The sequence below is a fragment of the Homo sapiens genome, chromosome 14, assembly GCF_000001405.40.
Source record: "Homo sapiens chromosome 14, GRCh38.p14 Primary Assembly".
NCBI classification, from domain to species: domain Eukaryota; kingdom Metazoa; phylum Chordata; class Mammalia; order Primates; family Hominidae; genus Homo; species Homo sapiens.
The window spans coordinates 93,999,090-94,011,987 of record NC_000014.9 but is presented as its reverse complement, the minus strand read 5'-3'; the positions used below and the strand labels follow the sequence as shown (position 1 = coordinate 94,011,987).

The following is a 12,898-nucleotide window of genomic DNA, read 5'->3' as shown; positions in this document are numbered from 1 at the left end:
GAACACTAAAGTTTGAAAACCACTGCTCAAAAGAATGATAGGGCACAATTTGAAAAAGAACACAATCCAATTCCCCCCTCCCAAGAGCCAACTTCCCCAGCACCAGCCATTTGGCAATAATCCAATTCTTCCAGGATAGTCTGTGGGAAGAATTTTCTCATGCTTGAAGTTGCTTAAAGCTGGGATTCACTGGCAGGTAATGAGCTCTTGGTCTCAAAATGTCCAAGCCCGGGACTGTTGGTGTCTTGGGATCCCACGGTCCAGTTGGAAGGTCAAATGAAATGACATTTCGTAAGGTACCTGAACTAGTGCTTTTTATTTTTTCTCCAAATGCCCTTGAAGGTTTTTCTCCAGCTAATATAGAACCTATGAGAAAAGTGCTTTGAAGGTGCAGGGTCATGGGGGAGCGAGCTTTCTGTAAGACAAAAAGCCAAGAAAGGAGAAACAGCATTCTGGTACTTACCAGCAGCCTGAGGTAGCCGCGCTGTTAAGCGCAATGCCGTGTCCAATTCACGGCCCCAGCCCTGCCCAGGGGAGGCTGGGAGCTCCCAAGGTACCCAGATGCTGGCTGCAAATGTCGACTGGTGGCCAGGCCATTGCCACGCCAAGCAACTGTTCCAATCCCGCTCCTCCCCAAGGAGTGTGACAAAATGTCTGAGCTAGATCAAGCACGACAGGTGCACAGCAGGCAGGTGATAGGGGACAGAATGACATAGAGCCCTCGAAGGCACAGTCAACAAGCCACAGAACTTCACCCTGGGCGTAGAAGGTGGTGCTCTCTCCAGCACCTCCCGGGAGGTCAGACAGGATTAGGGCAGCCCTCCTGGAATGCCCGGTCCAGCCCCATCGTGCAGAGGGAATTCCGAAGTCCAGGCAGGGGTAGTTGGTGGTTACAGTGGAGCAGTGCCTGGCTTCAGCATGTAGGATTTGCCATTACTCTAAAGCAGTGGTTTTCAAAATGTAACCCCAGGACCAGCAGCATCTGCCACATCTGGGGACTTGTTAGAAATGCAGATTCTAGGGCCTGGAAGCTCTGGAGGTGGGTCCACACTCTGCATTGATACAGGGCCTCCTGATGCGTGTTCAAACCTGAGAGCCACCAGCTTAATCCTCTGCACTGGGGAAGATTAATGGGATACTTTAGCTTGCTTTGGAAAGAGTGGGAAAGACAGAGAACAGAGAGGCATGAGTGTGTGAGGCTCCCCTTGCACCGCCCTTGATGGAGTCTAAACCTCAGCCTGGTGTTTGGGGCCCCACGTGGTCCCCCAGCCACCTTCTCAGACTGCTCAGGGGGTTCCGCATGCTCCAGCCAAAATGCAAGTCCCTACTCCGGCGTTTCTGTCCCTTTTCTTTAGTGCAGCCTCTTCCTTCTGAGATCCCACTCAAACCCTACCTGAGGTGCCCTCTTTCCTGTGAAGGTCTATGAGACAAGAAACTCGGAACAGCGGCTCCCTCCTGGCTCTCCTTTTAAAAACTACACTACTCACTGGGCACAGTGGCTCATGCCTGTAATCCCAGCACTTTGGGAGGCCAAGGCGGGCGGATCACCTGAGGTCAGGAGTTCAAGACCAGCCTGGCCAACATGGTGAAACCCCATCTCTATTAAAAATATAAAAATTAGCCAGGCATGGTGGCACGCGCCTGTAGTCCCAGTTACTTGGGAGGCTGAGGCAGGAGAATCGCTTAAACCCGGGAGGTGGAGGTTGCAGTGAGCAGAGATTGTGCCACTACACTCTAGCCTGGGTCACAGAGCAAGGCTCAGTCTCAAAAACAACGACAACAAACAAACAAACAAACACCCCAAAATATAACTCTACTACTCTTAAAACCTGGCCACAATCAGCCTTCCTTCTTCCGTGTATCTTTCCTATTTAACTCCCTGGCCAAGCCTGACTTATCCCCCACCCTCTCCCAGCAGCACCTGGAGTCAAGCGGGCTTTCGAGGTTCTTGGCTGACAGTCAGCATCTTTTCTTTTCTAAAACTCCCCTTTGAAAGTTCATGTGCTGACTCACCACTGTTCACAGCTCAGCAGCTGCTCTTAACTTTCTGCCTTTACCTAGATAAATTAACAGCAGCTGACCTCTAGAGCTGAATTATTTTTGGGGCTGTGGTGGTTGCTAGAATGATTTTACCCCAGTGGCACAACGAAAGCAAGCAAGTGCCTTCTGTGCAGACCTGGCTTTTCCAAACTTGACCTAGAATGTCAGACTGGAGTGGGAGGCTTAAATATCCTCTCACCACCACCCCTGTTTTTTTTAAAGACAGGGTCTCGCTCTGTCACCCACACTGGAGTGCAGTGGCACAATCACGGCTCACTGCAGCCTTGACCTCCCAGGCTCAAGTGATCCTCCCACCTCAGCCTCCTAAGTAGCTGGAATCACAGGTGTGTGCCACCATGTCTGGCTAATTGTTTCATTTTTTATAGAGACAGGCTCTCCCTATGTTGCCCAAGCTGGTCTTGAACTCCTGGGCTCAAGTGATCCTCCTGCCTCTGCCTCCCAAGGTGCTTGGGATTATAGGTGTGAGCCACTGTGTCCGACACTCTCTCCCAATTTTACAGGTAGAAAAACCAGCCCAGAGAGGGACCTTGCCTTGCCAAGGTCTCCCTGAGAGTACCAACCATTTCAGGCAGCTCAGACACCTGCAGGATGGGCAGAAGGTACCAACCTGGTACTCAACTTCTGGAAGAAAGTGATGAGATGCCCCCTACACATTCAGCACCCCCATTAGCTCTGCAGACTGCTGTGGGCAAGGTGAACTCCCATCGATCCCATGGCCCTGGTGGCTCTTTACAGTGTCCTGTGACTGGGACATTCCCAACAGCCAAGCATCCGTCCAAAGCTCCTCAGTCTCAGGAACCCACCATGAAAGTGAGAGATGTAGCCCCGGCTCCCAGGAGGGAGTCTTCAGCCCAGGATCTTCCAGCCTGGCTGCTGCCCCCAACTCGGGAACCTGCCTCTCTCTCCCGGATCCCAGGCAGGCCTTACCTGGATCCCTGCCAATCCCCCAGGATGGGGAGCAGCACCCCCAACCCTAGCTGAGCCCAGGACCCTGACCACCCCCTCAATGCCCCCAGACTCTCTCCCACTGGCTTAGAGATGTTGGTGGTGAGAAAAGGAGGCAGGCAGGTAAGGAGAGGTCGTGATGCCATGGGGCCTGCAAGGCGCAGGCTGGTCAGTACAGGCCGGAGCACTCTGAAGCATGGGGGCTGGGAAAGGGGGTCCTGGGGGTGGAAACCCGCCTCCTTGGACATTTCCTGAAGGGTTTGGGGTGTCTTCTGAGCCACTGGTCCCCGAAGCTGTCCCATGACCAGCACACTTTGGGTTCCGTGAGCAGTGCGATCAGTCTTACAGTCTCCATTTTGTCCAACATGAACTCCTGGGAGGGAAAATAAATCTCTCACCTGACAGTGTTTTGGCCTCTGGACGCTGCTTTCTAGGTACCAAAGCATCATCAAAGGCTGACCTACTTCTCCTTTAACTCTCACAAGCGCCCTGCAAAGGATGTGGTATCAATGCCACTGGGTAAATGAGCAAACAGAGGCTCAGAGAGGTTAGGTGACTTGTCTGATGTGGCACAGCCAGGAGTGACAGAGCTGGATGACTAGGAGTCCAGATCCTGGTGTGACTTCCTGAAAGTGGTTGCCTGCCTCTTCTCACTGCCTCTTCCAAGAAGCCCACCCTGACTGTCCCCAGCCTCCCTCTCTGAAGGGCATTCGTTTCTTAAGGACCAGATGGGCCTCCATCTCCTGTTGCCTAGCAGAATGCTGAGCATATTCAGGTGGCTCAATTCATGTTGGCTGAGTGACTGACAGATGTCAATCCAGAGGCCCAATCTGATTGTTGCTTGGGACCCTGTGACATCACCACATAATTTCTTCCCTTTTCTTGGGAAGAAGATGAAATTAATACACTGTGACTATTTAGACAAACATGTCCTTACTCAGAAATCTCATTTCTTTGCAATATGAATAAGTTCCAAGTTGTATATAACTAGGGATGCCAATTACACAGACTTCAACTGAATGGTGCCCACTGAGTTGTGCCATGCAGCAGCCTCGGTACTGCCTGTGAGGCTCCTGGAGAAGTCCTTCTGAACTGAGCCACAGGCTTGCTCACTGCTGACTGTTGCACTGGACACTAGGGAAGAGACCTGCCCCTCAGGGTTCCTGGGGAGCTAAGTATCCCGTGTTTGGATATCTGCACGGAACCTGCCTCAAATGAGGTAAGCAAGTTCTGACTTAGGATGAAGTCAGTGCTAAAGGTAGAAGACAGGAGAGTATGGAAAGGATGGGTCTTTGATGATGCCTCTGAGCCTAGGATCACACCATGCCTGAAACCCACCCAGGCACCAAACTTCCACTCATGACACAAGATGTGCCCTGGTAGAGGAGCCAAATGACCTCAGAAAAGAACAAAGTTGGAAGACTCACACTTCTCAATTTTAATATTTATTACAAAGCCACAGTAATAAAGACAGTATGGTACTGGCATAAAAACAGGCGTAGCGATGAATGGAATAGAATCAAGAATCCAGAAATAAACTTTTCATATTACGGTCAATTGATTTTTGACAAGGGTCCTGAGAAAACTCAAAGGGGAAAAATAGAACTTTTTAAACAAATGGTATCAGGACAACTGAATATCCTCATGCGAAATAATGAAATTGGACCCCTACCTTACACTATATTAAAAAATCAACTGAAAATGAACCACAGACCTAAACAGTAGAGCAAAAACTATAAACTTCTCACAAGAAACAGGTGTAAATCTTCATGACCCTGGATTAGGTAATGGCTTTTTAGATATGACTCCTAAAGGACAAATACATACACATACCCAAAGTAAAACTGTTGGATTCTCGGCCGGATGCAGTGGCTCACATCTGTAATCTTAGCAATTTGGGAGGCCGAGGCAGGTGGATCACTTGAGGTCAGAGTTGAAGACCAGCCTGGCCAACTTGGTGAAACCCTGTCTCTACCAAAAAATACAAAAATTAGCCAGGTGTGGTGGCGCATGCCTGTAGTCCCAGCTACTGGGGAGGCTGAGTCAGGAGAATCGCTTGAACCCAGGAGGCGGAGGTTGCAGTGAGCCAAGATGGCGCCACTGCACTCCAGCCTGGGTGATAGACTGAGACCCTGTCTCAAACAAACAAGCAAAAATACAAACAAACAAATTGGATTCCATAAAAATTCAAAACTTCTGTGCTTCATCAAGATAGTAAAAAGATAACATGCAAGATAGAAAATATTTGCAATCATATATTTGATAAGGGACCTGTATCCAGAATGCAAAAAGAATTCTTACAACTCAACTAAAAAAAGACAAATAGGCCGGGAACAGTGGCTCATACCTATAATCTCAGCACTTTGGGAGGCCGAGGCGGGTGGATCACTTGAGGTCAGGAGTTCGAGACCAGCCTGGCCAACATGGTGAAACCCCGTCTCTAATAGAAATACAAAACTTAGCCGTGTATGGTGGTGCATGCCTTGTAGTCCCAGCTACTTGGGAGGCTGAGGCAAGACAATTGCTTGAACCCGGGAGGCAGAGGTTGCAGTGAGCCGAGCGAGAAGTGCCATTGCACTCCAGCCTGGGCAAGAGAGTGAGACTCTGTCTCAAAAAAAAAAAAAATACAAATAATCAAATTTTTTAATGGGCAAATAATTTGAATAGACATTTCTCCAAAGGAGAGATACACATGGCCAATAAGCACATGAAAAGATACTCAACATCATTAGTCATCAGAGAAGTGCAAATCAAAACCACAATGAGATGCCACTTCACACCCATTAGGAGGGCTAAATTAGAAAAAGTTGACAATAGCAAATGTTGGCAAGGATGTGGAGAAATTGGAACCCTCGTACATTGATCATGGGGATGGTAAATGGTGCAGCCACTTTGGAAAAGAGTTTGGCAGTTCTTCGAATGTTAAACATAGAGTTAAGAGATGACCCAGCAATTGCACTCCTAGGTACGTACCAAAGAGAAGTGAAAACATATCTCTGCATAAAAATGTGTACACAAATGTTCTTAGCAGTAATATTCATAATACCTAAGGAATGTAACAATCCAGATGTCCGTCAACTGATGAATGGATAAACAAAAGTTCTATCCATATAAATACGCCCATACCATGGACTATTCAGCTATAAAAATAAAGCACTGATTCGTGCTGGGACATGGATGAACCTTGAAAACATTATGCTAAATGAAAGCAGCCAGACGCTAAATGAAAGCAGCCAGACGCTAAATGTATCTTTTTGGGGGTGATGAAATGTTCTGGAATTAGAGAGGGGTAATGGCTGTGCAATTTTGACTATACTGAAAACACGGACATGCATAATTGTAAGGGCTAAATGTTATGGTATGTGAATTATATCTCAATAAAGTTATTATTTTAAAAAGACATGCTGTGTTGTCAATCAAAGCCAATCTGATCACGTTTTCTGTTACTGCAGTAACAGCATCCTGACTGATGGGGGCGGTGAGGAAAGAAGCCCAGTGGACTGACAGTGTGAAGTTTAAGGTGAGGACCCTGTGCAAGAGGCTCCCTCAGTCACTGAAATGCCCGCTGCCAGCGTTCTCATATGTGTAAGTGTGATCATACCTGTTTGTATCTTCGTGCGTGCAAGTTGATGTTTGTGTGCTTATTTGCAGGTGTGTCTGTGTATGTCTCATGTGTGGGTGTGCAGAAAGCACACATGGATGTTGATGGGTGTGTACTGTGTGTGTGCGTGTGCCTGTGTGTGATGTGTCAGTGTGGAGCTACATATGAAGACCAGGTGGGAAGTTCCTCTATGCACCTTCTACACTGACCCTTCACCTAGTGGGTGCTCAAGTTTGTAGACTAATAGAGACCTTAGGACCTTACTGCACCAGGCACCAATGTAGCTATGGAAAGAAGAGCTGATGGGGGGCTAAACACAAATGCAGCCTGGGCTAAGGAGCAGGACTAGCTCAAGTTGGAGTCTTGCCTGGGGCAGTCAGGAGCCCCGCAGCCATCTGTCTATCCTTACCTTAATCAGATCGAGCTTGGAGAAGAGATCCATGCTCTTGGGCACGCCGTGGGCAGAGGGGCAGCACTGCCGGGCCATGTTGGTGATGGTCATTTGCATGTAGCCGAGCAGCTGATCCTGCAGGAAAGAGAAGGAGGAGGTGGTGGCTCAGGCTCTCTCCCAGCATCCCCTGCCCCTGCCCTGGCTCACTCCAGCCAGCGAAGTGTCGTGGACAGAGCTGGGACACTGGGAGTGTCCTTCTCATCATGGTCTATATTCCTCTCCTGCGGGGCTCGGTTGAGTTCCTCCCTACGTCAGAGCCTGAGCAGCCTCCTCTGCAAAGAGGCAGGTTGGACTAACTCCTTTCAGAAGGGCTTCCTGGCTGGAGGCATCGGGGTCCACACCTCGTTAGAAGCAGAGGACTGGGAAGGGGCATGGAGTGGGGCCCTGGACTTCAGACCTCCAGGATCCTGGTCTGCTGCAGCAGCTTAGAGAGAGAGACCTCAAAGGGGCTCTGTAGACTGTGACCCACCCAGCTCCCTCCCTAAGCCCCTTGCCTTGGCTGGAGGTCAGCAGCCAATAGCCCCCAAGCCTCGTCTTCCAAACTCAGATCCCTCGAGGCCCAGTCAGTCTGGACCTGAGCAGGTCTCACACTCACTCCATGACCTCATCCTGTGCAGGGAAGGTGTGCCCAGCGCAGCCCTGTGCCCAAGCCATGGTCCTAACTGTCCTCCCGCAGTCCCGGAGGCCAGAAGAACATAGACTGTTGCCTCCGTTTATGGCGAGGAACCGGGGTCCAGGGGTGACCAGACCACACTCCCAAGGCCAGTAAGGGGCAGTGCAAGAGCTGAATTCTGGAATCCCTGGAATTCATGGCCATGGACTTTGGCCATGACTTGTTCTTTCTGAGCCTCATTTTTCTCATTTGTAAAATGAGTGTGGGTAAAATTCACCAATATTTAAGAACACCTACTCCAGGTCAGACTCTCTGATCAGAGAGACACCAGCCTTACTGAAGACAGTACATAACAACCACTCACTTAAACACCGTTATCTTATTATTAACCACAAACATTATACAAGGACTAAGAGCTCGGCACAACACCAAGCCCTGGGACTGGGCCGGTGGATCCCGGCTCTGGTTCTTGGCAGAGCTCTGTCCTGAAATATCTGTGGCCTCAGTTTTCCCATCTGTGAAGTAACATCGGACCCCTCAAAGAGAGGCCCTTTGAAAGCAAACTGTCACCAAGGAGAAGAAAGTGGTGTGGGTCTGTCTGTGTGTGTGTCTGTCTCTATGTATGTCTCTGCATGTGTCTTTGTGTGTGTATGTGTCTGTGTGTCTGTGCGTGTGTTTGCATGTCTGTGTGTGTGTCTGTGTGTGTCTGTGCATTTGTGTGTATGTGTCTGGCTGGGTCTGTCTATATGTCTGGTTGTGTCTGTGTGTCTATGTGTCTGGCTGTGACTATGTCTGTGGGTGTGTGTGTCTGGCTGTGTGTGTGCCTGTGTGTCTATGTGTCTGGCTCTGTGTGTGTGTGTCTGCGTGCGTATGTGTCTGTGTGTTTTGGGATTGATGATGGAGACATCAGCTTCCCCTTCCCCACCCCTAACCCCACCCCCAGGCTGAAAGACTGGACTCACATTATAGCTGCTGCTGGTGTGTGTGTCAAAGTCAATGTCCTTCTGGTAAGTGATGCTGTGCTTCAGCTGCCACCACTGCTCCTGCTTGCGGTAGCACTTCTTCTGCAGCTGACACAGCCGGATCTTGAGGCTCTGGGGCAGAGGGAATGGGCCATCTTGGTACAACAAACCCTCCAGGGCATATGCCCTGGTCTGAGTCCCCAGGGTGGTCTGTGCAATGACAGGATAGGAGGAAGGAATACTTGTGGGTGGCTGGGGCCATTCAAGGCACCAGAGATGCAGAAAAGGGCGTGTCCAGGCTGATGGAGTTTACCTGAGCCCCAGTTCCTGATAATTTTATAAAGGGGAGTTCCCCTACACAAGTTCTCTTGCCTGCCACCAGGTAAGATGTGCCTTTGCTCCTCCTTCACCTTCCACCATGATTGTCAGGTCACCCGAGCCATGTAGAACTGCGAGTCCATTAAACCTCTTTTTCTTTATAATTTTGTTTTTTTTTTTTTTTTGAGACAGTCTCACTCTTTTTGCCCAGGCTGGAGTGCAGCGGAACAATCTTGGCTTACTGCGACCTCCGCCTCCTGGGTTCAAGTGATTCTCCTGCTTCAACCTCCTAATTAGCTGAGATTATAGGCGCACACCACCATGCCTGGCTAATTTTTGTATTTTTAGTAGAGATGGGGTTTCACCATGTTGGCCAGGCTGGTCTTGAACTCCTGACCTCGAATGATCTGCCCGCTTTGGCCTCCCAAAGTGCTGAGATTACAGGAGTGAGCCACCATACCTGGCCCCCTTTTTCTTTATAAATTACCCAGTCTCAGGTGTTTCTTTATTAGCAGCATGAGAAGGAACTAATACATGCCCCTGGCCAGGCCCTGTGGGATAGGAATTTGAAAGATACAGAACAGGCCAGGTGTGGTGGCACACGCCTGTAATCCCAGCTACTCGGAAGGCAGAGGCAGGAAAATCGCTGGAGCCTGGGAGGCGGAGGCTGCAGTAAGCCGAGATCACTCCACTGTACTCCAGCCTGGGCGACAGAGTGAAACCCTGTCTCCCAAAAAAATGAAAGAAAGAAGGAAAGAAAGAAAGAGAGAGAGGGGGCGAGAGAGAGAGGGAAAGAAAGAAAGAGAGAGAGAAAGACAGACGCAGGACATACCCCCGTGGCCCCGCTTCTCTGAGGCTTACTTTCCTCCCCTCGAAAATGGGAAGAATAGCATGGCTGGACTTGCCTTTCCCTAGTCCCAGCCCTTGGAATAGTAGCACCTACCTAGAGGTGCTGGCGTGATATTTAAGTGAGATAAAGCATGTAAAGTGCTTCACGCAGTGCCCAGCCCATCCATGAATTCCATTCTCCAAAGAAATGGTACAACGTGGTGCAGGCTTGCAGCGCTGCCACTAGGGGGCAGATGCTCTCTCCAAAACTACGCAGCAACCCTTTGCAGTGAACCAACCGGCTGGTCATCCTTCCTCTGGGATCCCGAAGTCCCCGGTCCCAGTGGCAGCATGAATCTTCATGATGCCACGCCTTTGTCAGGGCAGGCTCTTCCACCTGGAGTGCCCATCCCTCCCAGCGGAAGTCCTATTTATTATGCGATAACTACAAAGGAAGGGAAGGGAAATGATGTCTCTGGCACTTACTTTGAGGCAGTTTGTGTTTGGTGCCTCGCAAGGACGCTAGCAACTAGGGTGTGTTGCCCCCACTTGACAGATGCAGAAACTGAGGCTCAGAGAGGCTACAAACTAGTCACACAGCTAGTCAGTGGCTGAGCTGGGAGCCGAGCTCCAGTCCCTCTGCATCCAGGACACATGGCTTTTCTACCACGCAGAACAACGTTAGGCACGAGCTGAGCCTCAGGCAGCAGAGGGGAGAGGAAGGGGATATGGAAGGCGGCTCAGGAGCGACAGCCCCACCGAGGGCCCCCCAGCATTACGCCGCTGCTCCCTCTAGGCCTTCCCCAGGGCTATGCAGGAAAGGGGGCCCCACGCCCCCAGCTCCCTGGGCCACGGGGAATGGAGCAGACTTCAAGCAGCTGTTACCAACATGAGAGCCCTGTGGTCCTCCTCCAGAGACTCCAGGCTCCGGTGGACAGCCTGGATCATCTGGCAGAAGGCCTCGAGGCGCTTCTGCGTGTCCTGGCTGGCTGTGAAGAGCTTCCCGTAGTGCTTCACCGTGGCCTCCACCAGCACCTCCTCCGGCTCCTCCCATCCCGTGCAGCCTACGGAGACAGCGCCATGGCGGGATGGGTGGGTGCCCCTGCAGTGGGCCATGCCAACAGGGTGGCCAGGAATTCCAGCTGGGGCCACAAAATTGAGAGGTGCCAGACAGTCCATGACAGTAGGATGACCCCAGACAGTAGGATGGTCCCGGGCTTGCCATCCACACCCGCCCCCCCGCCCTCCCGCCCCCTCCACTTCAAGGGAATCCTCAACCTTGGAAAGTTCAGCCAGAGACTGAGACAGGGATTCTGGATCAAGACCACCGAGCGAGGCGGGAGACTGCCCTCAAGGAGATGTTGCTGCTTGGAGCAGCCTGAGAGGGGGATAGGAATTGTTCCTGTCCTGAGCGAGCAAGTGCCAAGTCCTGGTGGTTATGCATTTTGGATGGGTTGAACAGGGCAGAATTGCTGAATTAGGAAGGTCCCAAACCACAAGCAGCACTGGGTGCTGGGTCTGCCGCAAGCCCCATGCTTGACCTGCAGCCCTGACTCCTCCTTGGCTCAGTACTCAGTATATATCCCCAGCCTCCCAGCCACATCGCCCAGCAGCCCGGAGCTCACCACCCCTAAACCCACCTCGCAGCCCTATGGCTCCTGCCTACATTTGTGTCCCTCCCTCTGCCTGAGGGTCATTCTCCTTTGCTGCACCCATTTGAGCCCCATGAGAGGTCGCCTCCTCCAGGAAGCCTTCCCTGATCTCCAAGGCAGAGTTTTTGGAGTTTCCATAGCTCCTCTCATTCTAGCACTTAGTACAGTGGCTATGAAGTCAGACGGACCAGAGTCTGAGCCCAGTGCCACCACTTCCTGACTGGGTGACCCTGGGCAAGTTCGTTACCCTCTCTGAGCCTGAGTGACACAGTAGTGCAAAGCTCATAGGAGGGGTAAAAAAGATTTGCTAAAGAGCTTAGCACAGGGTACATATTTAATAAATGGTAATAATTATTATTGATGGTGTTGAAATAATAATGATAACAATAAATATGTGTGACTCCCCTTCCCTTTTCCAATGAGTTTCCAGTACTCATAAAACAACACAGAAAACCTCATCTCAGATGTCCTTATACTCTTAGTTAATAATAGCAACACAAAAACACAAAACCAAAGACAAACAAAATAATAATAATAATGGCCAACGTTTACCAGGTACTAGCTAAATGTGGGGCCCTGTGCTGTGCTTATAAAGGATGACTTCATCTAGTCCACATAATTATTGCTGTTCCCATTGTACAGATAAGAAAATCAAGGCCTTGAGAACTTGCCAGAGGCCACACTGTTAGCGACAGTGGAGCTGGAGTTGGGACCAAGCAGTCAGACTCGGCTGCCTGAGCCCTTCCCCACTACTGTGGGGTTGGCCTTTGTGGATTCCCATTCTGTAGATGAGCAGCTCGTGGCTCCATGAGGCCACACACGGTGTCGCAGTCCTGCAGCCAGTAGGTGGCTGTGGAGAGAAAGGGCTTTCCGAGGAAGCTGTGTACATACCCTCGGGGATTTTCTCAAGGACCTTAATCAGATAGTCTTCAAAAAGCTTGTGCTTCTCGACTTCTCTCTTGAGCTTCTTCTGCCTGTAGAGCCAGATGCAGGAACATGGCCTGGAGGCTCCCAGGTCACGCAGGACCCCCTGTGAATGAACCTGGACCACCCTCTGTGATCTCCTGCTTGGACGTGCACTGGGCCGGCCACGTACCACTTTATCAGTTGGCCATAGACTTAGGAGTCTCTGCACCTTCATTTCACTGCTGAGCAAACTGAGCCACAAGCAGATCAAATAAACGCCCATAGCAGCATCTCCCAGGCAGCAAAGAAGGTATCTGGGGGAGAATGAAGGCTGAGCCTTTCTGGCCAGAGTCTTCAGTGCCTCCCCTGGAGGCTGTGCAGGTGGCTGCCATCTCAGGAGACAGGCCGGCCCCTATTAGCTGGTGACGTGGGGCCAGCTGCTTCACCTCTCTGTGCCCGGGTTGCCCATCTACAGCAGGGATGATGTGAGCTGCTGGCCAGGGTCATGCGTGGGGCTCCCAGTGCCTTGGGGGCACTCCATCAGAGGTGGGGGCCCCACCA

The 12,898-nt window shown here is 50.8% G+C and overlaps 1 protein-coding gene across 24 annotated transcripts in view; it reads right to left on the bottom strand.

Annotated features, from left to right (window-relative positions):
• Nucleotides 1–292: 292 nt before the first annotated feature.
• The window catches only part of CCDC197 (coiled-coil domain containing 197), a 24,471-nt gene continuing 11,865 nt past the window's right edge, over nucleotides 293–12,898 (bottom strand). For 6 of the 24 annotated variants that reach the window (XM_047431194.1, XM_047431185.1, XM_047431183.1 and 3 more), the window contains 6 exons: nucleotides 12,323–12,405; nucleotides 11,058–11,157; nucleotides 10,669–10,843; nucleotides 8,634–8,765; nucleotides 7,017–7,133; nucleotides 3,125–3,379 (listed from right to left, as the gene is read on the bottom strand). In XM_047431194.1, the coding sequence (XP_047287150.1) occupies nucleotides 3,176–3,379; nucleotides 7,017–7,133; nucleotides 8,634–8,765; nucleotides 10,669–10,843; nucleotides 11,058–11,157; nucleotides 12,323–12,405 (811 nt within the window). In that variant the 3' untranslated portion in view covers nucleotides 3,125–3,175. Of the gene's footprint in view, nucleotides 367–463; nucleotides 778–894; nucleotides 1,118–3,124; nucleotides 3,380–3,404; nucleotides 3,496–4,435; nucleotides 4,978–7,016; nucleotides 7,134–8,633; nucleotides 8,766–10,078; nucleotides 10,225–10,265; nucleotides 10,844–11,057; nucleotides 11,158–12,322; nucleotides 12,406–12,527; nucleotides 12,652–12,898 lie in introns of those variants that run through there. The other 18 variants (XM_047431188.1, XM_024449525.2, NM_001351596.2 and 15 more) reach the window with 13 other exon arrangements.